Below are 24270 nucleotides of genomic sequence, written 5' to 3' on the forward strand. Positions count from 1 at the left end.
AATGGGGATATTTATTAAAATGTTTTATTAGGAAACTAGATTTAGACATATTTCTATAATTTTCATATTTAAGTATTTTTATTGCCCAATGAAATGACTTTCAGTTTAAAATGGACTCAGATAATCAGTCTCCAAATTCTCACTTTTATACTTAATCAAATATAGTTGGTGGATTTATATTTGCCTGCATATGTTTAGAAATATTAGAGATGTTTTCAGTAGAACTCTATCAATCTTTTGCTGGGTTGTAATAGCTAGTAAATGACTTAAATTATTTTGTGCTTTCATCCAACTCTGATTTAATAAGCCTTTACGGATTTGGGATTGTGTACATAGGTGTGGGAGGAACACAAAAAACAGGAAACTTCTCAGGCCTAAAGAACGAACAGGCTGTTTACAAGACAAAAGCACCTCACAGTAAAAGAAAAACCTGTGTGTAAATGTGAATTTTTGGACTTGTTATTTAAGTTGCCTCTTGGAATTTTAGTCATATCTATTATTTCCAAAGTCAGAAGAATTATCTGTGCCCAGGGTTATTCCAGATAACTGATGTTTAACATTTTGAGTGGCATATAACACACACAAAAAAGATTATATTTCTGGACCACTTTTTAAAGTGTATTAATGTGTCTTTCAGTTTTCAAACATAATCTTTTGAACAAAGTGATAAAAGCAGGGCTGGCTTCATGGGCCTGCCATCTATGTCATCGCATAGGGCCCTGTGCTTAGAAGGGCCACATGCTTGGTGTCCTTCTGTCACTGTCTGGAAATTCTTCACAATTTTTGAACAAAGGGCTTGACATTTTTATTTTGCGCTGAGCCCTGCAAATCATGTAGCCCATCATGCATACAAGGTTTTCACTTGGACTGTTCATTATTGTCTAGGATATCTAGTGCAGTAATATTTGGGTCTCCTCCCTTGAGCTCAGCTTGCCAGCATACACTTCTGTTCTCAGGACGCCTCTTTCTTCCAGGGCTCTGCCTTCTAATTTGCTGCTTCTCATCTGCGGAGCCATCCCATAAATAAGGTATTAGAATAGTAAGTAGGCTGAGAATCACTAGGCTCTGAAGGGTGACCTTGAAGACTCCTCCCATAGAGTGAAAGTACCTCCACGTCAGTAGCCAAGCTTTACTGCATTTATTTCCGGGATCAGAGGCTCCTCTCCTGGATTGATTGCACTGGTGAAGTGGCCATCTCTGTATAAACACCAGGTGGGACCACACCATTCTGGCCCACTTTTATTAAAGGAAGATTGTTGTAAAAAAGCTATTTTAAAAGCCTACTTTTTTGGAAATTAATCATAGAGGGTAAGAAAGTAAGTGAGGCTTCTTTTCATGAGACTCCTGTTGGAGAAATCTTACAAATTACGAATGTTTCACTATTGACCATGACAGATCTCTTGGATTTCAGTAATTTCTGTGTCTTCAAGTTGTTCATATACCTTCAAAGTAGTGTTCATGCAAGTTGTTCATATACCTTCAAAGTAGTGTTCATGCTTGGTGCCCTTGTGCCTTGAGTCCTAAAGTGAACTATGGCATGTTTTTGTTTTGTTTTGTTTTGTTTTGTTTTGTTTTGTTTTTTTTGACACAGATCCCAGTTGCTAAGCTTTCCATATAATTACAGAACTATGTTTTTCACAATCTCCAGAGACCACTACCAGCTAAAGGAAAGTGGGTGGATTCTCTGTGCAATGATTTCTAGTTTTCTTCTGGTGCATTTTTCTAGTTTCTAATATTCAAGCTACAGGAAAAGGAAATAAAAAGGGGAAGCAAAGCCAACTGTTCTGTTGTTATTTTAGGCCATCCATAGCATAAGAAATATATTGGCAATTATGTTACAAGAAAATAAGATTTACCCAAATAGAGAAAAGAGTACTTCTTACTCATTTACTTACTCACTCATTCATTTATTCGCTCAACATTCAGTGTTATTTATTGAACACCTACTGTGTGCTAGGCACTGTGGTGTGTACCAGGGTGCAATGAAGGATAAGAAAATTATTATCCATTCCAAGGATGGAAGCATGTGTGTACTTTATACTCAACAGATGCTCTAAGGTAATACAGAATGAATGAATGAATAAATAAATGAATACATGCTTTGAATAATATGCATCACTGATACTGAGCAGGGATTTCTCAACTCATTTTTGTAGCAAAAGATTCTTATACCTTTCTGAAATTGAATGATGGCAGAAATTCTCCTAACTGCTTTTGTTTAAACTCCTGTTTGACATTTGAACTGTTTTCAAAATGTCATCTCTGGATTCACTTGCCTCTGAGGAATTGAAGGAAATTTTATATTGACATAGTCTGCAAGTTGTCAGAATTCACATAGTACTAGAAATTTCATAAGTATTCATAAAAGAAAATTAAGAGATCATTAATCTCTTTTTAAACTGGTTTACCCCACATTCTCAAAGTGCTTTGGGAATTGCAGTATCAAGTTTGTGCCAGGTCTTAAACATTAACTGAAATGGTTAAAGACTTGGGCATGGTTAACACAGTGCCATGGTGCCCTCCTACCTCTGTGAAACTGTCATTTTATTATGTTTGATTTTAATGCGATTTGATATGTGGGGGGAGAAAGCAGGTAATTATTTGGAAAATGCCCGTTACTTTTATAAATAGGAGAAATACGGGAGTTGGTCTTTGCTAATAGAAATCATAATAGTAATTGCAGTCATGATTATTATATGGTGCTTCACACTATTAAAACACTTTATCTATGATAGGTTTAGAATCACCTGTTTTACATGATGAAAGTCTACCTAGGGAAACTACAGAAAAGTTCTCTAAAGTTAGAATTTTGTACCTCAGAATGAAAAGCAACAGACATTATAACCAACTAAAATTTCAACGAAAATGCCAAGAACACACAATGGAGAAAGGACACCCTCTTAAGTACATGGCACTTGGAAAACTGAATATCCACATGCAAAAGAATGAAGCTAGACCCCTGTCTCTCACCATATACAAAAATAAACTCAGGATGGATTAAAGACTTAAATGTAAGACCCAAAATGATAAAAATACTGAAAGAAAACATAGGGAAAATGTTCATGGCATTGGTTTGGGCAAAGAATTTTTGGATAAGACCCTAAAACACAGGCAACAAAAACAAAACTAGACACATTGGATTATGTCAAACTAAAAGCTTCTGCACAGAAAAGGAGACAACAGAGTAAAAAGAAAACTTAAAGAATGTGAGAAAATATTTGTAAGCTATGCATCTAATAAGGGGCTAATAAATAGGGTATATTAGGAACTCAAATAATTCAACAGCAAAAAAAAAAGACATACATAACTCTGATTAGAAAATGGACAAAAGACCTGAAAAGACATTTCTCCAAAGAAGACATACGAATGGCCAACAGGTATATGAAAAAATACTCAACATTACTTATCATCAGAGAAATGCAAATTGAGATATCACCCCACCCCAATTAAAATGGCTATTATCAAAAAGACAAAAATAACAAATGCTGGCATGGATGTGGAGAAAGGGGAACTATTATGCACTGTTGATGAGAATATAAATTATTATAGCCATTATGGAAAACAGTATGAAGATTCCTGAAAAAAAAATAAAGTTACCATATGATCCAGCTATCCTACTACTGGATAGATATCCAAGAGAAATGAAATCGGTATATTGAAGAGATATTTACACTCTCATGTTTAATGCAGCACTTTTCACAATAGCCAAGATATGGAACCAACCTAAGTGTCCATCCGTGGGTAAATAGGTAAAGAAAATGTGGTGTGTATACAAAAAGGAATACCATTCAGCTGTAAAAAAGAATGAAATCCTGTCATTTGCAGCAACGTGGATGGACCTGGAGGATATTATGTTAAGTGAAATAAGCCAGGAACAGAAAGACAAATACCGCATGATCTCACTCACATGGTGAATCTAAAAAAGTTGATCCCATAGAAATAGAGAGTAGAATAGTGGTTGCCAGAGGCTTAGGATAATAGAGGAAAGGAGAGGATAGGAAGAGATTAATCAACATGTATAAAGTTACACTTAGATAGAAGCAATAAGTTCTAGTGTTTTATTGCACATTGGGGTGACTTTGGTTGCCAGTATTGCATTATATATTTCAAAATAGCTAGAAGACAGGATTTTGAGTGTTCTCACCACACAAAAAAGGTAAGTATATTATGTGATAGATATGCCAATTGCTCGATTTTATTTTTACACAATGTATTCTTGTATCAACACATCATACTGTTCCCACTAAATAGGTACAATTAATGTATGTAAGTTTCTTTTTAAGCAGCAGAGAAATCTAGGTGACTAAACCACCTGATGTAGATCCTTTATTTTTGATGGCAGCCAATCATTGTTTTAATAGTTAAAGGGAGAGGAGTGGTGGTAAAACTAGGGCTAGATGTCTGTAAACCTTATTATAAGCAAAATATTTGTAAAGCTATGCAAATAGTGCACATAGTGCACTGTATGCCTTATGGGTTTGATCTGTAACATGAACTCATCAGAAGTAAGCTAAATTCAACACTCTCCGACCTTTAATGAGTTGATGATATTGTTCTGCCTTGATTTGTATATTAATTATGGATGAATTAATTTAACAAATGGATATGAAAAACCTACTCTATGTCAGGCACTGTGTTAGGCCCTGGAAGCACAAAATGAGTAACACATCTTCCCTCAAGATAGGTAAGGTCTGTCTGTCAGAGCACACTTCTGCTGACTTATGTTCTGTTTTTGCAGTCCTTCATTTCACTTTTATTGATCACTACTGAACAATAGTTTCTTACCCTTTATAGCTTTAATTTTCCCTGCATTCTAGGTTATTTGTCAAGACAGTAATGATTGTAAAACAATACTTCTACGTACTAGGGAAGCTATTTTGTGTGAGATCCCTGTAGTCAGCCCTTGTGTAGAGAAGAATCTCAAATTATTGGTTCTGTTTTGGGGCATATAGTACCCAGTTAAATATTAAAATGTTTAAATTTCTAAAGTGATGTTAACTGGGAGAAGCTGATATCTTTTCAGAGATATATATTGAAGAGAGATTGATTAATGGTTACAAATATGCACTTAGATAGAAGAAATAAGACCTGGTGTTCGATAGATTGTAGGGTAACTATAGTTAACAGTAATCAATTGTACATTTCAAAATAGCTAGAAGGGAATAAGTCAAATGTTTCTAGTATAAAGAAAAGACAAATATTTCAGGTGATGGATATCCTAATTACCTTTACTTGATTATATGAATGCTTCAAATTATCTCATGTACTCTGAAAATATGTACATCTAATAAGTATCAATAAATATAAATAAACAAACAGAAGCAAGTGTTGAACTACCAGTTTGTTATAACTGCCAATCAAATGTGCCCTGGGACAAACTGTGTCTGCCATCACCTGCCACCCCCATTCCAAGTACTAAATTGCACTATAAAAGCAGGACTTTTAACAGGGTCAGCTGTAGCATGGGTGCCCCAGAGCCCTGCCCCCAGTCAGGAAAGCTCTCAGGATTCACAAAGACTCCAGATGCTTCCAGGGTTCAGCATTCTCCTCTGGGAACAGGGAAGGTATCGCCAACCGCTTCAGCCCTCAGGGAGCTCCTGGTTGAGAGGGAACAGCCTTTCCTATGGTTAGGTGCAATCACAAAGAAGATACTAGTGCTCTAACAGGTTTTGAGACTTATGTGTGCCAGACCCTGTGCTAAAGTCTTATTGACTCTTCATAGCTGTTGGAGGCATGTGTTGATAATGCTCACTGTTTTACAGATGCTTAAAGAAATTTGGTGTCTGTCAAAGCCTCTAAGGATAGGTCTTATCTGCTGCCTTCCTTCCTCCTCCGTGCAACCATTCATTACCTCTCTGTCCTCTTGCTCACTCCTCTTTGCCCTCCTCATGTCCCCAAGCACTCAGGCACACTCTTGCCCCAAGGCTGTTGCTGTTCCTGCTGCCTGAACCTCTCTTCTTCTTGATGTCCATGTAACTGGTCCCCTAGTTCTCTTCAAGGCCTTCCTCAGTGTCACCTCTAACAAGATCTTCCTTGGTTACCCAATCCAACATTGCAATTCTCATTTCTTCATGTGCCCCTTCCCTGCTTTATTTCTTTTTATCGCTCATCACTATCTAACAAGGTATATATGTGACCTATTTATTTTGTTGATCTTTTATTTTTTCACAGACTGGAAGAGCCAGGGATACAGAGTTTTTGTCCTTTTGTTCACCATTGGATATAGTTTCTTGAACTGTGACTAGCCAATAGTAGGTATTTACTAAATATTTGTTGAATGAATAAATGAATGAATAGCTAAATTAGTGATAGAATAAATTTGCTAGAATTTTCTCTCTCAAAGATAACAAGTAATGTGGTTCAAATGTATAGTCAGTCTACAGGCTATGCATTAATCTTCCAAGCCAAGGGCCAGGTAGTCGGTAAGATTTGCACTTGCTCTTTAAACATGATAGGTGTTGGTAAATTGCTCAAGGGTAGAAAAGGCAAGGCACTCATGAGGGCATGGAAGCAGAGAGACAGCCAGGCACATCCTTTTCTCTACTGTCCTGGTTTGCTTGGGAATTTGCCTTGCCAAGCATCTATTTAAGACAGCGTTATCCCATATCCAGTCATGGGTGTTTTATGCTATACAGCAAAGCCCTTTCAGAGCCACCTCTGGACATGTAGTTGCCTAGCAAATAACCTTTCCATCTTGAGTTCATAACTGATATTTGAATGTGACTGGGCATTTCTAAAATTAAGCTTTTGATCCTGGAAACATTCACAGCTCTACTAGAGAAATTGTCATTCTTTCTCTACTCCTCTCTCCACGTGCTTGTTAGATTTTTCCATACGTTGTTTATAATAACTTTTCCTTGTGGTTGAAGATAACAGATTTTTGCTTTTAATTCAAGAAATGTCGTCTGCTGTAATGTTTTGCAACATGATACTTTCCAAGTTTCAAAGCGAGCTTGTGTTGTGGGATTGTGTTTTTGCATCTGAAACTGTAGGGGTGGTGATAATATCCCGATCTACAGAGTGCAGATCCTCTGCCCTTCCATCCCTGTCAGTGTGTTTAAGGGAACGTAAAGGATTTTTCTGTCATTGTAATTTAAATTCAGAAGGAGTCTATTTGTATGGTAATCATGAGCTAAGGAAAACAGTGTTTCATTTCTCTCTGGGATTTGTTTTCTGACATCTTCACATTCTCTACTACTTTAACCTGGCAACAGCATATTAACAGCAATTCATACTCTGTATTTTAACATGTAGAACAGTACCCAGAAGATTAATACATGATGAGGAGAAAGAAGTAAGAAGGGAGGTTGAGGCCATAATTAATTTTGCTTTCATGCACCATATGCTGGTGTTTTCTGATCTTAACTGAAATTAGGGTCACCACTGAGTTTTCAATATTTAAAAAAATGACCGTACATAGTGAAGCACAAATAAAATTGCCCTTCTTTTGAATATTAAGCTTCCAACTTGGGGATGCAAATTATATTCTTGTTGTTTGGATTCATTATTTTTCAATGAGGCTCTTTTAGTGGGTGGGGAACGGGGGCTACCAGTGAGAACAATCAGAAAGAACTCCGCTAACTAACTGCTTGTTGGCCTGCCCTGAACAGTGGAAAGATGAATAGTTAAGAGGCTTCTCTCCCAATCTAAGTAATTACTGCATGTTCTTGTTTTAAATGAGAGAGTTGTGAGGCTAGGGGTTATATCTTCAATCACCCCAAATGACACCTCCTTGTTCACAAAACGAATTCAATTAGATTAATTTCCCCAGATGATCCTATTAGGTGAGACGATTCACATAATACGTAAGGTCTCTTTAGATCAAGGGTCTTATGCTCAGACCTTATGCTGCCTACATGAGCAGATAGGTAACATTAGGGAGTGAAATGTGGCTGGTCATCGAGCTGCTTCTCCCAAGAAAGCAGGGCATTGGCTTTGAAGTTCTGGCTGGAAGCTTTACTGTAAACCAATAAAGGTGGCCAAATAGCCAGTCTCACCCTGCCTAAAAGGGGGCAGCCGCTATTTAATCCCAACAGATGATTGACTCTGGAAGGTTGCCCTGAAGTTGCCATATTGCATTCTTCAAGAGACTCTACAAAGTACTGTTTTCTTGTGAAATCCCCTGATTATTATACATGTTAGTTCAAATTGAAAAGAAGCAATATTTTGTGCCAGCCAAGCAAAACATGCCTATAGCCTTAAAATTGGCAGGTCTGGGATCAAAAAGAGAATAAAGGGAGGCTACATACGGCAAGTGTAAAACTGTAAAATGTAATAAATAAAACTAATAAAATATGTTCTGTCTTCCAACTTTGACAGATGTTCAAACCTGAAAGACCAGGTTTGAAATTTTTAGTTGTTTCAGCCCTCTGAGTACCAGCACGAGGTAGAGGGAGGAGAGCAGGCCCTACCTCCCCTGCTTCTGCCCTCTCCCCTTCTCACCCCCAGCTGTGTACCACATGCATGTATGTAGAGACCCCAGGCCCACACTCTGCTCTGTCCCTCATCAACAGCCATCCTTCTGCCAACCTTCTGCCCTGGGTAGTATGAGGCACGGGCTGCCCTAGAGATAATGGATCATGTGAAGAGACCCACTTGGCCCTGAAACAGAGTAGGTGGGCATTTGAGCAGATAATTTCAGAATTCCTGGAACTAGAGTTTGGTCTAGAATCTAGATTTAGCTGATGTGTGGAGGGCTGTGCAGAGGCTCTGGGGGGCACATCTCCTTGGCTTCTTGGGCTCCTGGCCCTGTGTGGAGAGGCATGGTAAAGGAGACAGGTAGACATCTTCGGCCTTGGCTGGAATCTACAAGCAGTACTAGCTTGAGCACTTGATTTATAGAATATTTGTTCCAGATGAGACCTTAGAGTGTTTTATTAATCCCAAGGCCTCAGTATACGCAGAACGATCCTGTCTGATGAGAAATAGAAGAATTACAGGCTTTTTAGTCAGATATATCTGAACTTAATCCATAGTCCAGTCATTTACCATGTTGGTGACTTGTTACTTAGCTTCCCTAAGCCTTGTTGTGCCCCTCAGGAAAATGGAGATGAAGTGGATTTTATACTGTCGTATCAAGGGCTTTTATCACCCGTTATGCTCTTGAGACCTTTGAACAGTGGGTCATCCTGACAGAATACCCTCCCTAGGGAAGGTCTATTCCATGTGACTCTCTCTCAGGCACAGTTGTTTGCTTAAGCTCTTCTGATTAAATACAAGGACATTCTTAGGCTTCCCTTTCAGTCCTTGAATTATCTTTTTATTTTTCATAAGAAAAGGGAGCAGCAAAGAAAGGAAATTCGCAAAATGATGTTGCTTAAACCTCAAAAAGTTCATGCCTTTTCCCTGAACTGATGATGATAACTTTTCAAATTTTAGGGCACTTATAACAATTTTCAAAGCATTTTGTAATTTTAAAAATTAATTTGTACAAAGTACTTGGCACATAGATTATTGGCTAAGTTTCCCTAGAAACCTATAGCAGTGTAACTTTTATGAATCACCTCAGTAAAAGATCTTTCTGAAAAAGTCTTTTGTTTTGCTTTGTTTTTGACTTGGGAAGGTAGGGAAGAAGTGAGAGAGGGGGTATTTTCCTTACTAAGTGAAAAACATATTTTAAATGTAATTTAAACCAAAGCTTATCTGAAGTGATAAGACTGGTTATTTGTGTGGAATTTAAAATTTAATAAAGAAGTGAGAGAAGTTGGCATTTGCAGTTTTTATTGGCCAACAGTGTCAACCATGTATTGTTGGCATCAAGCTTATATTCTCTTATTTAGTATATTAAGTCAATTGATTAAAAGCAGAAAACCTGGCTAATTAGACTGCCAAGATCTTAATGTTAACTGTCAGATTCTAAAGCTATATAAGCCTGAAAACACCTTTATAGATTACTTCTTCTGGGTGCCAAATGGTTCTAAATGCTGAAAAATGTCATAATTGTCCCCCCTTCTTCTGAGAAAGGTAATAGATACTATTGGATATCCACTTCCTTACAGACTCATTCACATTTTTTCTTGTCCTGGATAGTATCCCCACTATCAGGGCGTTTTCATTTAGGGCCAGCAATAATCCGTATTTTGATTCAAGCAGAACTAGTTGTAGATTACAATATTTCAAGCCAAGGTTCCCATTCAAACTGTTTTCTGCTGCTTTAATCATAAAGGAATCATTTACTCTTACAATGCTGGAAATTAAGGATTTATTTTTCACTTACCACCATTTTCACTGGTATTTCAGCAGTCATTGAAGTACCTTTCTCTCCTCTTCGGTTACATGGCCCCATTGAGCTGGAAGATGGATTATGCAGTGAGACTCAGTTTATGGTAGAGGAAGACATATGACAATGTTATGACTTTGGCATTTACTTAAGGTACAGGTTGATGATGATGATGATAACTTATATCTTGGTTTATCTTTGCCAAACATACTTAGCATTCATTATTTAATGCTCACAATAACACACTGAAGTGATATTATATAATGTGGCATTATATAATCACTCCAAGTTTGTCATTGAAGAAATTAATGTTTAGAAATCTAACTTGCCAGAGTCAGTTAGTAAATAGAAGAATCAGGACCCAAGGCCAGATTCATTGACTCAAGATCCTGTTTTTTTGTACAATACACCGTGGATAGAGAGATTAATGATACCCAACATTTTTTAGTAATAGGAACGCTTTACATATATACTCTCATTTCATTTCATTCCAATAAGCCAGAGGAGGGCATTATGATTAGCTGCATTTTATAAACAAGGGTACTGAAGCTCAGAGAGTTTTAGAAATGGGCCATAATCACACAGCCTGTAAATGGAAGAGTTAGGATTAATCCCACTTCTGATATACTCTAGAGCTTGTAGAGTCTGCATTGTCTCTTGACCTGAAAAGGGAAAAACTTTCAAGAATTAAAAGCCAATTTTTGTTTTAAATCACTTTAAATGGTATTTCACAGATAATGCTAAGAAATTAGGCTGTAAAAGAAATGTCAAGGTGTATGTATTTGAGTTCCCCAAGCAAAATTTCCAAAAGGGGTCTTTTTTTCACATATATGAGCATTGTGTACTGTATTACCACTCAGTTTAAAGAAATAGAACACCAGCCAAGAGAGAAGAGCCAGGAAGCTGCTCACTGTGATGTTGTAAATGTTCAGTGATTAGAGTGGATAATTATTGATATTATTTTGTAATTTATTTTGCAGAGGATATATCTATCTGCAGATTTAAATATATATACTGGCTCAAGATGCAGAATCTTTTCCAGGGAAATTTTCATAGTTGTCCTCATTCTAAAACTGCTGTCTTGTGACTTCATTGCATTAGACTATGATGACCACTGGGAGTATTGGCCAAATCCTCCTCCCTGCTGACCTGAGTAGCCTCTCTGCAGAGTCCCCTGCTAAGACAGTCATTCACAAACAATAGGTGGCCATTGCCAGCAATTTGAGCACAGCAGTCCTCATACTTGGCAGCAGTTACCAGCAATTGGCAAGCTATTACCCAAATCTCCTGCCAAGTGAAAGCTAGGACTTTTAGAATTACCTTGTTCCTTTCACCTGGTTGCCACATTTATCTTTTTTTTTTTTTTTTAAAAGAGAGTGTTTTGTGTGCAAGTGTACTTCTTTATAGGCTTCATGCTAAAATGTCCCTGGCATGGGTATATTTGGGTCTTTAAAGTGCTTAGCAAAAGGAGTGCCCTTCCATATTGAAATGCAAATCTTTCCTTGGGTATTAAATTTGATTTGGAAGCCCTCTTCTTCTTGATTTATTGATATCACCTTGAAATCACACCATCCTCAGTCTTTAAGCATCGCCCAGTCCCCGTATTCTGAACTATCTGGCCAAGATGAGGCTGAGTCTCAGACAGAGTGTTGATACCTGTCCACCCATTATTCTTCACAGCCCTGATCTGATCCCTGTGAGGCAGGGCTGAGCTCCAAAGGTTAGTTAGAGACCAATTGGAGGTGAGCAAATACCTCAATTACAGCAGGTATCTGGATCCTGTCTGAATTTCACCTTCTGAAAGAACCTGTAGTAGAAATACAAGGTTCAAACTTGCATTCTCTAGGGCTTTCTAAATCTCTCTACTCTGGGAAAACTATTCTGTAAATGTCTATCCATCTTGGTTGCATTTAAAATATGGGGCCTCATTCTCCTCTGCCTTCCATCTGATTGCAACTTGGGCCTAGGTGATCTTGGTCCCATGTTTTTTTTGTTTTGTGTGTGTGTGTGTGTGTGTGTGTGTGTGTTTTCTCATCAATAAACTTTTCTTCAAGCCTTCTGCTGAAATTTGGATTAACTCAATTTTCATAGACCCTGCAGTTCAACCTTCTGTATTTTACAATGACTCCTGCTATTGTAGAAATAGAAGACAAGTGAGGAATCTTTCCTTTTACAATTCTGTATTATCTTAAAACATTCAAAGAAACCATTTCTTACTGAAACAGCTGTACTTGGTTATGTTATTAGAGGAGACACACTATGGACTTATTTTGACAGTGAAATATATTTAGACTAAAATTTTAAATTACTCATCTAGCTAAGGTGTGTTGCTATTCCATAATACTTCTCAAGTGTTTTGTGTTTCAACTTTCGGGTTTCTTTAAGAAAACAAAAACAAAAACAAAGAAAACTCCATCAAGTTAGAATAGAATGTGAGAAATTTGGTGTATAAGATAAATCTGTCTTTATGTTTCTCCAGGCAAATAATGTTTTATACTAGAGCAGGCTTCCTGCCTTTGGTATGCTCAGATAAATTAATTTGACTGTTTATGATGTTATTTAATTTTCAATAATTATTCAAGCATATATAACCACAGACATCTATGTAGTAGGCAGATGGATCAGCAATTGTGCATGTAATTAGAAATAATCCTTGAAATACAAAAGTAGATTTTAATATTCAGCATCTAAAAAATTGCTAACATTACAAATTGCCCATACCCCGTGGTTGCAGCCAGTGATGTAAAAATTTAAATACAAGAATTCAAATGAAAATTTCTGCCTTCTCAGCATCAAGCAGTTATTGAATAACAGTAGAAAATCATGGACAAGTCACTTAAAGAGACACATTCTTTCTCTCTTAAAATAAAGATTTGATGTGTTTTTAATGAATTACAATGTGAATAAATAAATTGTAAATAATTTAGATTGGAGTGCTCTTTGTAAAAGTCACATACTCACATGGAAAATATTAAATGGGAATTATATTAGTAAATACAAGCTCACTTTTCAAAATCTTATAGAGAAAGAAACAAAAAATATTCTATTTTTGGTTCTTAAAATGTATGCTAGAACTTATATTTACTATTGCCAATAAAATAGGGAATGTACTTTATTCATTTTCTGTTGAGAGAGAGGGAAAGATGAAAATGAGTTCATATGGTAAAATGAGTTATGATTTTTAGATTACTGAGTTCTGAATTCAAGTTCATGGTCTGCTATTTACAAGATAAATAACAAAGCCTTTAATCTTAAAGTCTCAGGATTTGTTGACATTTTTGCTGTAATGCCTACTGTTTATGTTTAGCACTATCTAACATGGTCCCTGACACTTTCATAATATCTTAAAAACTTACAGTAAAAAGAAAAAAAAAAAGAATTGTTAGCCAGGCATGATGGCACGTGCCTGTAATCCCAGCTACAGGGGAGTCTGAGGCAGGAGAATTGCTTGAACCCCAGAGGTGGAAGTTGCAGTGAGCCGAGATCGTGCCACTGCACTCCAGCCTGGGTGACAGAGTGAGACACGTTCAAACAAAAAAAAATAAAAGAAAAGAAAAAAGAATTGGAAATATGGAAGGAAATAGAGGAAATATGGAAGGAAATAGAGGAAGATAGAGACAGAAAGAAAAAAAAGAAATTGAGAGACAGAAAAACAAGAGCACTTTTCAGCTTCTTCTCATTCCTAAGCCAAAAAAACAAAACAGGTTTTTCAAGGAGTAATATCACCACCTTATGGCCTTTTACAATAATGCTGCGAAAAATTAATATTCCAGTTGTATTTTTGCAACTATAAACATCAATTCTTTACTCTTAGATCAAAGGTCACATCTTGTTCATATATAAGATATTTTCTATCTTTTCTTTTTGAAGTAATAATAAGCCCAATATCAGGTATCACAAATGTTTGCAGAGTTCCTGCTTAGTGCCAAAAGATGTATCTCACATCTCTACTTCATTAGATACAAAGATGAATAAGGCACAAGTATTAGCTTCAAAGAGCTTAGAGTTTGGAGGGCTGTTTCTTCCAGAAAGAAGGAATTCATGGCTAGTGTGTTCTGACATTGGGTTCTGTAGGTTACCGGGCATCTGTTCAACTTTAGAATGTGAGAAGGCTGGTAGTACACATTAAAACCAGATGTTTCTGTGCAAAACAATGAAGGAACCTGGGCCTTGGGCCCTTGGCCACACTGGGAGCAGACCTAAACTCTAGGGAGCATTGATGGGAAAATTGTAGACATAAATTCTAGAATCTCCGTCCCTTCCTTCCTTCCTTCCTTCCTTCCTTCCTTCCTTCCTTCCTTCCTTTTTCGTTGTTTCTTTCTTTCTCCCTTTCTCTCTCTCTTTCTCTCTTTCTTTCTCCTTCCTTCCTTCCTTCTTTCTTTTTTCTTTCTTTCTCTTTTTTTTGAGACAGAGTATCACTCTTGTTGCCCAGGCTGGAGTGCAGTGGTGCAATTTCGGCTCACTGCAAGCTCTGCCTACCAGGTTCAAGTGGTTCTCCTGCCTCAGCCTCCCAAGTAGCTGGAATTACAGGAGCCCACTTTTATGCCTGGATAATGTTTGTATCTTTAGTAGAGACGGGATTTCACCATGTTGGCCAGGCTGGTCTGGAACTCCTGACCTCAGGTGATCTGCCCACCTTAGACTCCCAAAGTGCTGGGATTACAGGTGTGAGCCACCGTGTCCAGCTCCCTGTTTCTTTGTTATTGTGAGATGCAGGGCAGGATAGGATTTGGTTCAGGGAAGAAAGAAAATGAATGGAGGAGGCCGGGCGCAGTGGCTCATGCCTGTAATCCCAGCACTGTGGGAGGCCGAGGCGGGCAGATCACAAAGTCAGGAGATCCACACCATCCTGGCTAACACGGTGAAACCCTGTCTCTACTAAAAATAGAAAAAATTAGCCAGGCGTGGTGGCAGGTGCCTGTAGTCACAGCTACTTGGGAGGCTAAGGCAGGAGAATGGCGTGAACCTGGGAGGCGGAGCTTGCAGTGAGCCGAGATTGCGCCACTGCACTCCAACCTGGGCGAAAGAGTGAGACTCCATCTCAAAAAAAAAAAAAAAAAAAAAAAAAAAAAAAAAAAAAGAATGGAGGAGTTGGCAGCATTAACTGTCTATTTCAAAGCCATTACTAGAGGGGATACTGTAGAAGTAGGGAGCAACCCCTGGCTTAGTGCATGAGATCAATGCTGGTAGCAGTTATAGCCTAACTCTAATACCAATTTTGATCTCACTTCTTCTAAACATAATGTAAAAGTCAGGAGTATATTCTCTGCCCCGCTTTTGTGCCAGGCCTTATATTGTCTATTGCCCATACATGCTGGTTACAGGCAAAGTCTCCTTTCCTTATGAAGAACCGTGTGCTATCTGTGTCATGGTGCGTTGTTGCCAGTCTCTTTGATGGCCATGTGCACTGCTGCGCTTGTCACTACAGAAGTGTGAAGCATCTTCTCTGCAGCTTCTGATCCTGCCGTGTCTGCTGCACTGAAGCTCATAATCTGCGAGAGAAGATGCCACTGGGGATTAAAGCGCCAGCAGCATCATTTTATTCATTTGTCTGACTGTGCTAATTTGCCAGTATCTTAGGAAGAAAATACTACTACAGAGCAATGGTTTTCAATCCTATGGTCATGACAAAAGCTTTGAGACCACACACACCCACTATACACACCAATCAACTCTTGTTTCAATTTTTTCCCATTATATCTAGGACTAGTTGGTGCTTTCAATTGAAAATTTGCAGGTACTGCAAACCCAGAGAAAAATGTTCTCTTCCTGGAATATGAGATAACTTGATGAGATGATGCTGCGATTCTGTGATTGTCACTACAATAATGTAATAGGGATTGTATTGCAGCATTAACGATTTCAATAGCTGAGTGGGAAATGAGAAAATATGTTTCCTTTGGTTACGGTTAGTAGTAATATTATGTAACTTTGCATTGGAAATAACTTAAACTGTGTGCCTTAAAATTAGTTTTAAATTGAAATGGGAAGCTGTGGTTATTTGAAGATGTTTTTCTTTTTTATTAAGCCAAGTGCCCTCTGGGATAACAGTTTGCGTACCTCTAACTCCTGGGCCAAATCTAGTTTTTCTTTAAGGCTTGTATTGGTTTGTTCATTCAGGTGTGTCTAGGCCACCTTCTGGTCATTTCCTTTTCAGCTAACACCCAGAGCCAAGCTCAGCAGAGAACTTGCTCTCTTATCACTGCCCCTTTGTGCCTTGTGTCTGAGCAGACAAGGAAAGCAGTGGCCTGTGTTGACTAATCCTGGCAGCTACTCTTCTTCCTCAAGACTGGGTCAGAGCCCTGCTCAGTCATTGGCAGAATCAGCAGGATTCACAGACTCATTCCAAGGCTTTTATGCAGTTCTGTGTTTTTAATGAAAAACACACAAACACACATAAAATTACCACACTCACCACAGACCTTACATTATGTCGTTCCTTTCTATAGCCTATTGGTTAAGAGTGTGATTTTGCATTTATATCCCAGCTCTGCCACTAGTGGCTTGTGACCAGGCAAGGTAAGCATAAACCTTAACAGCCTCGGTCTGCTCGGTTTAAAAATAGGACTGATAATAGTACTGTTTATTGTGGATTACGGTGAGTGTTATATGAGGTCATGAAGGAAACAGTGCTTAATTCAGCACCTGGGACATAATAAGTGCTCAACAAATGTTGGCTATGATGATTGTTTTATGAGTTTGCTCATAGCCAACTCAGTTTACTGTAGAGGGCTGCACTTTTCTGGAAACCATATCAAGTAAAGGCTATTCTCCTGTTCTGCATAACCTGGAGGAAGAGGATTCAAGGTGACTTATATCCAGGCTCTTCTTTTAAATTTTTGCTATTCTTTTAGCTGTTATCTACCAGACTCCTGGATGTTTTCCCACCAGTCACGTGCCCTGTGCCTTGCTTGCCGTCATCCTCTCTGTCCTTGCCCTCACCATTTGTCTCAGTGCCTACAATGCCTCCATGGGTCATTTCCATCTAAGTCATTTCTATTCTTCAGCCCATTTCCTTGGCAAAGATGGTATGTTTTTATCAAGTCCTATTCCTGACACTGAATTCTCATAATCCTTTGGTTCTCTTTTTCTGTTTACATGCCTCCCTACCCATTGAAAAGCTGTGGTGATTTGTTAATTAATTCATGTGTTCATCTTCTGATATCAGAAATATCTGTGAGGCCCTACACTGAGCGCGGTACTCTCCAAGGTGCTGGAATACTACAAGGAACCTTTGTTTCATGAACATGCTTAAGTTTCCACACGCAATTTATCATGCTGTAACTCTGGGTCCCTGCAGTCCTTGGTTGTAACTGCTCTTTTTAGGCTGCCAAGCCCACCACAGGAGAGAAAAAGGTCACAGAATTGCTAATCAGCTCCATTACATATTATTCCTCGAAAATGCTCCATGATTGCCCAATTACAACACTCATAACACCCTAAAATGTAACGTACCATTTACGTATCTGTCTCCCAGCTCTGCCCTGAGCTCCTGACACTGCCTCATTTGTTTATGCCCCTGATCTAAACCTGGCTTAGAGTAGGGATTCAATGAATATTTGTTGAATTCATATCAACTCATTCATATCTTGTTTTCAGCTTTGTAACTGGTCTCTAACTTCTGCTTGGCAAACCCATTTTTCATAGTTTTCATCTTTCTTTCGCTATCTATTGCATTCTTCCCTGTTTCTACTTGAAACTTTTCTACTTTCCTGTACAGCCCCTCCTCCATCTTCACCTTCTGCAGAATAACTTGGTTCGGATTTTATGGAGGATGTTGACTCCATCTGACGTAAGTTTCCTGGCCTTACCATTATGCTGCTTATTACCTTCACGGTACCTCACTACCACCCTGTTATAGGAGCCAGAGAAGTGACCTCAGGTCTTTCCGTCTCCCAGGATTCCCCTGCACCTGTGACTCCCACTGTGCCCGGGCTGATGACTTGTAATAAAGCAAAGACTTAAAGAGAGTTTGTTGAATCCCTTTCCAAGGAGCTGTTCAGATTACTTACCTTAGACTGACAAGATTTCGTGGTGCAGTGGCTCCATACATTGTATCGCCATGTCCCCACTGCTGTGACCAACTCTCAAGCCAGAAGTCAGCCAGATTTCTCTCCAGTTGAACCCCAGGCCACTGATCTCCTTAGCTCTGACCTTCCCAAGATGAGGTTGGTCCATTCTTGATAAATTCTGTATCAGATTCTGTGCCCCACCTGAATCCAGCCATGCTGCAGGTATAGACTGCAGCTCTCTGCCCCAGTCAGACTGTAGGATGCCTTTAAATTCCTGAGCATTAGTGGAGGTGATAAAACTTGCACTTTTGTCCTGATGTGGAAGGGAGGAAAATGAAATCCTGTGATGTCTTAAAATGTCCTGAAATCTTGGCCTATGATATACTAGGAACCTAGAAATGTTCTGAATTTAATAAGGAAAATAAAAGAGCCAATCCTCTATTCCTGAGGGCTAACTTATTTGGAGTGAAGATTCACCAGGATTGCCTTTGACAAAATGTGAGCCTGAAGGCTCTTGCCACATATTATATGAGCCTTATTTTGGAGTGGCTTCTTTTATTTGGCCAGGCTAGATATCTCCTGTTATCACATTCAGGCATTTGCTGCTGCCCCCTGGTTTGTGAGACATGCTTAGAGATATGAATCAGCCTATAAAGCGCATCTTTCTTTAGGAAAGTCCTGGGCTTGCCAGGCATGCAAAAGACTGTGATCCCCAGGAGAGCAGAGGGTACTTTCTGTCCTCACAGAGGCACTTAGTTGTCAGGATGCTTATTCCAGGAAGCTTAATTACAAACCACTGATAGGAATTTATTTTAGTAACTATAGAAAATGTTTATTTAGGTAAGAGGGAATTTTCCATTCCTGAAGATAAGCTCTTGCTTAAACTAGCATTCAATTACTTTTCAAGTGGTCTCAGAAGCCAAAGTGTGAGTGTGGTATGTGATAGATTCATATGTGCACGTGTTGTGTTTATGTGTGTGTGTGTGTGTGTGTATGCACGTGTGTGTTTAAGCTGCTGAGTACTTAAAACCTGCTTTAGTATTGTGATGGTTATTTCTAGTAGGAAATAAGGCTGTCCAATTTATCTCTGGCACTGAGCAAGCCCTATTTGTCTCTGGCATGAAGCAGGCTTAGCTCATCTGGTGCTGTCTCTGGTTATCATACTACTCAGCAGGGGTAATTTGTTTTGTTTTATTTCTGTCCCGAAAGGTAATTAATAATACAAGGACAAAATTGTTTGTGTAGTGTTTTTATATTTTTGATTACCCAAAGAAGTATTTTTCAGGAGCCTTTCCAAATAGCTGCTTTGCACCTGGCTGGAAAACTGTACTCCTCGGCGACAAAGAGCTAACTTTTGGAACCCTTCCAGGGGTCCAATTCTTTACCTTCATTCACCTCTGAGCCCCATTCAATGTGGGTCAAGGAGGATTTTTAGAGGGTATTAATATCAGTGAAAAGTCTTTGGTGCATAGTAACACTGAGCCAGAATGATTTTCTGGCTTCTGGCAGTGATTTAAAGAAATCCTTTGGAACGCTGTTACATGCTAGGTGTCCTGCTAAGTTCCTTCTATACATCTTACTTAATTGTCACAACAACCAATAAGGTTGCTATTACTATTCTCCATTTAAGAGGTGAGGAAATTGAGATTTATGATAATATAGTATTTAAAACATGCTTTTTGTTATTTGTGTGTGCATGTATTTTTTTGGTAACAGTTTAATTAGATGTCATTCACATACCATACAATTCACCTATTCAGATTGTTCAGTTCAATGGTTTTTAGATATATTCAGTTGTGCAACCTTCACCACAATGTATTTTAGAACACTTATATCACCTCAAAAAGAACCTTATACCCTTTAGCTCTCTTATGCCCTGAGCCCCAAGCAACAACTAACCTACTTTCTCTTTATATATATTTCTTATGCTGGGTGATTGTTTACTTATTTTCCTTTTTTTTTTTTTTTTTTTGAAACAGGGTCTTGCTCTGTTGCCCAGGCTGGAATGCAGTGGCATGATCATAGCTCACTGCAATCTCGAACTCCTGGATTCAAGGGATACCCCTGCCTCAGCCTCTTGAGTAGCTGGGACTATAGGCATGCACCGCCATGCCCAGCTACTTTTTTAAATAGTTGAGAGTCTCACTATGTTGCCCAAGCTGGTCTTGATCTCCTGGTCCCAAATGATCCTCTTCCTCTGCCTCCCAAGCACTGGAATTACAGGCATGAGCCACTGTGCCCAGCCCTTATGCTGGACATTTCATATGAATTTCATGTAAGTGGAATCACGTAACATATAGTCTTTTGTGACTGGTTTCTTTCACTTAGCATAATGTTTTTAAGGATCATTTGTGTTGTGTGTATCAGTATTTCATTTCTTTTTATGGCTGAATGTTGTATGCATACATCACCTTTTGTTTATCCATTCATCAGCTGATGGACGTTTGGATTGTTTCTGTCTTTTGACTATTAGAAACAAGGATATGAATATATATAAGTTTTGTATAGATATATATTTTCACTTTTCTTACAAATATATCAAGGAACAGAATTGTTGGAGCATATGGTTACTACTCCGTGTTTAATTTTTTGAGGAACCTCCCTACTGGTTTCCAAAGTGGCTGCACCATTATACATCCCACTATCAGTCTATGAGCATTTCAGTTTTTCCACACACTCCTTAAAACTCATCTGACTTTTTGTTTTTAGCCATCATACTGGATGTTAAGTGGTATCTTATTGTGATTTCGATTTACATTTGCCTAATGGCCAATGATGTTGAACATTTCATGTTCTTCTTAGGTCATTGGTATGTCTTCTTTGGAGAAATGTCTGTTTAAGTACTTCAAAATTGAGCTATTTTTCTTCTTATTAGTGAGTTGTAATAGTTATTTATATGTACTAGATAGAAGACCCGTGTCAGATATATGATTTACAAATATTTGGCTTGTCTTTTACTTTCTTGATAGGGGCATTTGAAGAACAATGGGTTTTCATTTTAATTTTAATAAAGTCTAGGTTTTTTTTTTATTTGTATTGCTTGTGATTTTGCTTTTGCGTCTAACAGCCCATTGCCAAATCCAAGGTCACAAAAATTTACCCCTGTGTTTTCCTTCTTACTTTTGTTGTTCTAAGATATATTTTTCTTTATATGGGCATATTCTCTGGTTGTAGAATCTTGGAATTTGATCACATGGCTATTTAAAACAATAAAAAGAAAAAGACTCTGTTTATGCTGTGTATGATCACAAAAACTTGTGTCATTCAGTTTTAGTGTTGGGCTTTCTAAATACCTCATTCTGCTCATCAGACATCATTTTTGTTCACTGTAGGTGCTGGCAGATCTCTGGTTGGAACTTTGTTGTTATTCATTGGTCAGTTTATGAATGAGTCAGATATTTCAGCTTCTGTGTTTTATCTGATCCTATACTTCTTTTCTGTTATTCCATTGTTCCCTCTAATTGGCCTTATAAAAGTATTTCTGCAGAAATACCAGAGTATTTACTGCAAAAACTTTTCATACTTTAAAAATGCCAAAAGAAGCTTTTAGAAAAGGAAGAATACCTGTCAATGTGGTACTCTCTTATATTAACAACTTTTTTGACAGAATGTTTAAAAAGTGATTTAAGGCTGGGTAGGCAGCACTTATCTGTGGGAAAGAAAATTTTCAGTTACTTAATAGCCTGTCTGAGGCACTTGCAAGGAAAATTCTCCAAATTTCAGACATTTTTGTCACCACAGTACCCTAGTGAATATAGCATGGCTGATACTTTTACAGCTATTCCTTCAGTATTGACAGTCTCTCAGATCCTTCTACTTCGTGTGTGTGTGTGTGTGTGTGTGTGTGTGTGTGTGTGTGTTTACCCAAAATGCTTCCATTATGATGCTTACCTACCTTATGTATTAATAATGTTCTGAGAGCTGTTTGAAGGAAAGTGTGACATTTATACAAAGAAAAGTCAATTATTTGTTTAATATTCATAAAATTTCCATAAAAGTCTAAGCATTTGAAAATACTTGAGAGTACTGAAATATATTTCTTTACATATAGGACTTTGTTCCCATAAAAAATCTTGTCTTTCGTACTTCTTGTGACTTCCTTCTTTCGTTTTCTCAGAGGGAGTATTGGTTTGTTTCAAACTGGCATCAACATTTTGATTCTTTTATTATCTATTTATTTATTTATCATTTATTTATTTATTTATTTATTTTTGAGACGGAGTCTCGCTCTGTCCCCCAGGCTGGAGTGCAGTGGCACAATCTTGGCTCACTGCAGCCTCCACCTCCAGGGTTCAAGCAATTCTCCTGCCTCAGCCTCCCAAGTATCTGGGATTGCAGGCGTGCACCACCACACCCAGCTAATTTTTGTATTTTTAGTAGAGACAGGGTTTCATCATGTTGGCCACGCTGATCTCGAACACCTGGCCTCAAGTGATCCACCCATCTCAGCCTCCCAAAGTGCTGGGATTACAGGCGTGAACCACCATGCCTGGCCTACCATTTGGATAATTTTAAACAATAAATAAGAACGTCTCCTGCTCATGAAGTAGGAGTATTTGTGTCTACATTTATTCATTAAAGTGGGTAATTAAATTCCCTGCCTAGGGTCATTGTTACTTTCTACCTCTTTGCTGTTTTCTGGATGGTTTCACCTCCCCACAGGCAGTATTCACTAATCCCTTTCCTGACTTTCCTTAACTCTGATTATCACTTTTAAGCCCTTCAGTAACAAACATTCAGTTTTTACATATATGAATCAGTACTTGGGTGTTTATATTCATATGCAATTTATATTTATATTCATATACAATACCTCCTATTTGTATCATATACAATACTTCCTACCATATAGAATGGGAAATTCCTTATGGAAGCTATCCTATCTTCTCTCTCTCTTTCTCTACATTCTGTTTCTCACGTATTTTCCCTTGCATATAGAAGGCCAAGATAAATACGTACGGATTTTATTTCATGTTCTCCCAGTTACTCTGATGTAAATTTCTTAACCTTGCTGAGCCTCAGTCTTCTTACCTGTAAAGTGGATATACTATCTCACAATGTGTATAGGTCAGGGTTCTCCAGAGAAACAGAATGAATAGTATATATATGAGGAGATTTATTATGGGAATTGGCTCACACAATGATGGAGGATAAGAAGTCCCATGATATGCTATCTGCAAGCTGGAAAACCAGGAAAGCTGATGGTGCAATTCAGTTAGAGTCAGAAGGCCTAAGAACTAGAGGGTGAAGGGCAGGGGCATAAGGGACTCTGTTATAATTCCTGGAGTTTGAAGGCCCAAGAACCATAAACTCTGATGTCTAAGGATAGGAGAAGATGTTGATGTTTCAGTTAAAGAAAATAGAGTGAGAGAAAATTTGCCTGGATTTTTCTTATATCTGGCCCTCAACAGATTGGATGCTGTCCACTCACACAGGTGAGGGTGGATTATTATTCAGTCTACTAATTAAAACGCTAATCTCTTCTAGAAACACCCTCACAGACACACCTAGAAATAATGTTTTTACCAGCTATCTGGGCACCCTTTAGCCCACTCAAGTTGATGCATAAAATTAACCATCATATAGTGCTATAGTACATATGAATTGAAAAAAATTTTTTGAACAGCTTTGAATTTGGGGCCAAATTTAGAAAGAGCTGGAGAATGTGGCTTCTGCCTGTTATTTCTTTGTTACGTTGTACCCATGGATTCTCCTCTTCCAAGTCCAGTATCATCTTTTGAGTAATTGCTCAGAAAATATTTTCTAATTGGCTTCTGGGTAGCTACTTCATTATCTGAACATAAAAATAATTCTCTGTGCATAATATGGACTATATATATAAGCAACAGCAAATATGTGAGTAAGAGGGAGGGACTGTAAGTAATGCTAGTGATTGACTAACACAGTGGCCTTCCAACTTTTTGATCATGTACTCTTATAAGTAAAACATTTTGAGCAGGCATTCCCCCAATATTTTGTGATTGACTGAAACATAGATTTATATTAGTCAACTTCAGACACTACCAGGTTATTCAAATA

At 38.1% G+C, this 24270-nt stretch overlaps 1 protein-coding gene across 12 annotated transcripts in view, besides 2 other annotated features; it reads left to right on the forward strand.

Annotated features, from left to right (window-relative positions):
* The window catches only part of FAT3 (FAT atypical cadherin 3), a 671656-nt gene that overhangs the window by 314382 nt on the left and 333004 nt on the right, over positions 1-24270 (forward strand). The gene's annotated exons all lie outside the window — the stretch shown is intronic.
* Positions 10967-11541: an enhancer, noted in NCBI's record as "OCT4-NANOG hESC enhancer chr11:92283332-92283906 (GRCh37/hg19 assembly coordinates)". NCBI's record gives its function as "activates a minimal SCP1, AML or CMV promoter by ChIP-STARR-seq in naive and primed H9 embryonic stem cells {active_cell/tissue: H9 hESC(naive and primed)}" and the evidence as "EXISTENCE:reporter gene assay evidence [ECO:0000049][PMID:30033119]".
* Positions 11542-12116: an enhancer, noted in NCBI's record as "OCT4-NANOG hESC enhancer chr11:92283907-92284481 (GRCh37/hg19 assembly coordinates)". NCBI's record gives its function as "activates a minimal SCP1, AML or CMV promoter by ChIP-STARR-seq in naive H9 embryonic stem cells {active_cell/tissue: H9 hESC(naive)}" and the evidence as "EXISTENCE:reporter gene assay evidence [ECO:0000049][PMID:30033119]".

The sequence above is a fragment of the Homo sapiens genome, chromosome 11, assembly GCF_000001405.40.
Source record: "Homo sapiens chromosome 11, GRCh38.p14 Primary Assembly".
Taxonomy (NCBI): domain Eukaryota; kingdom Metazoa; phylum Chordata; class Mammalia; order Primates; family Hominidae; genus Homo; species Homo sapiens.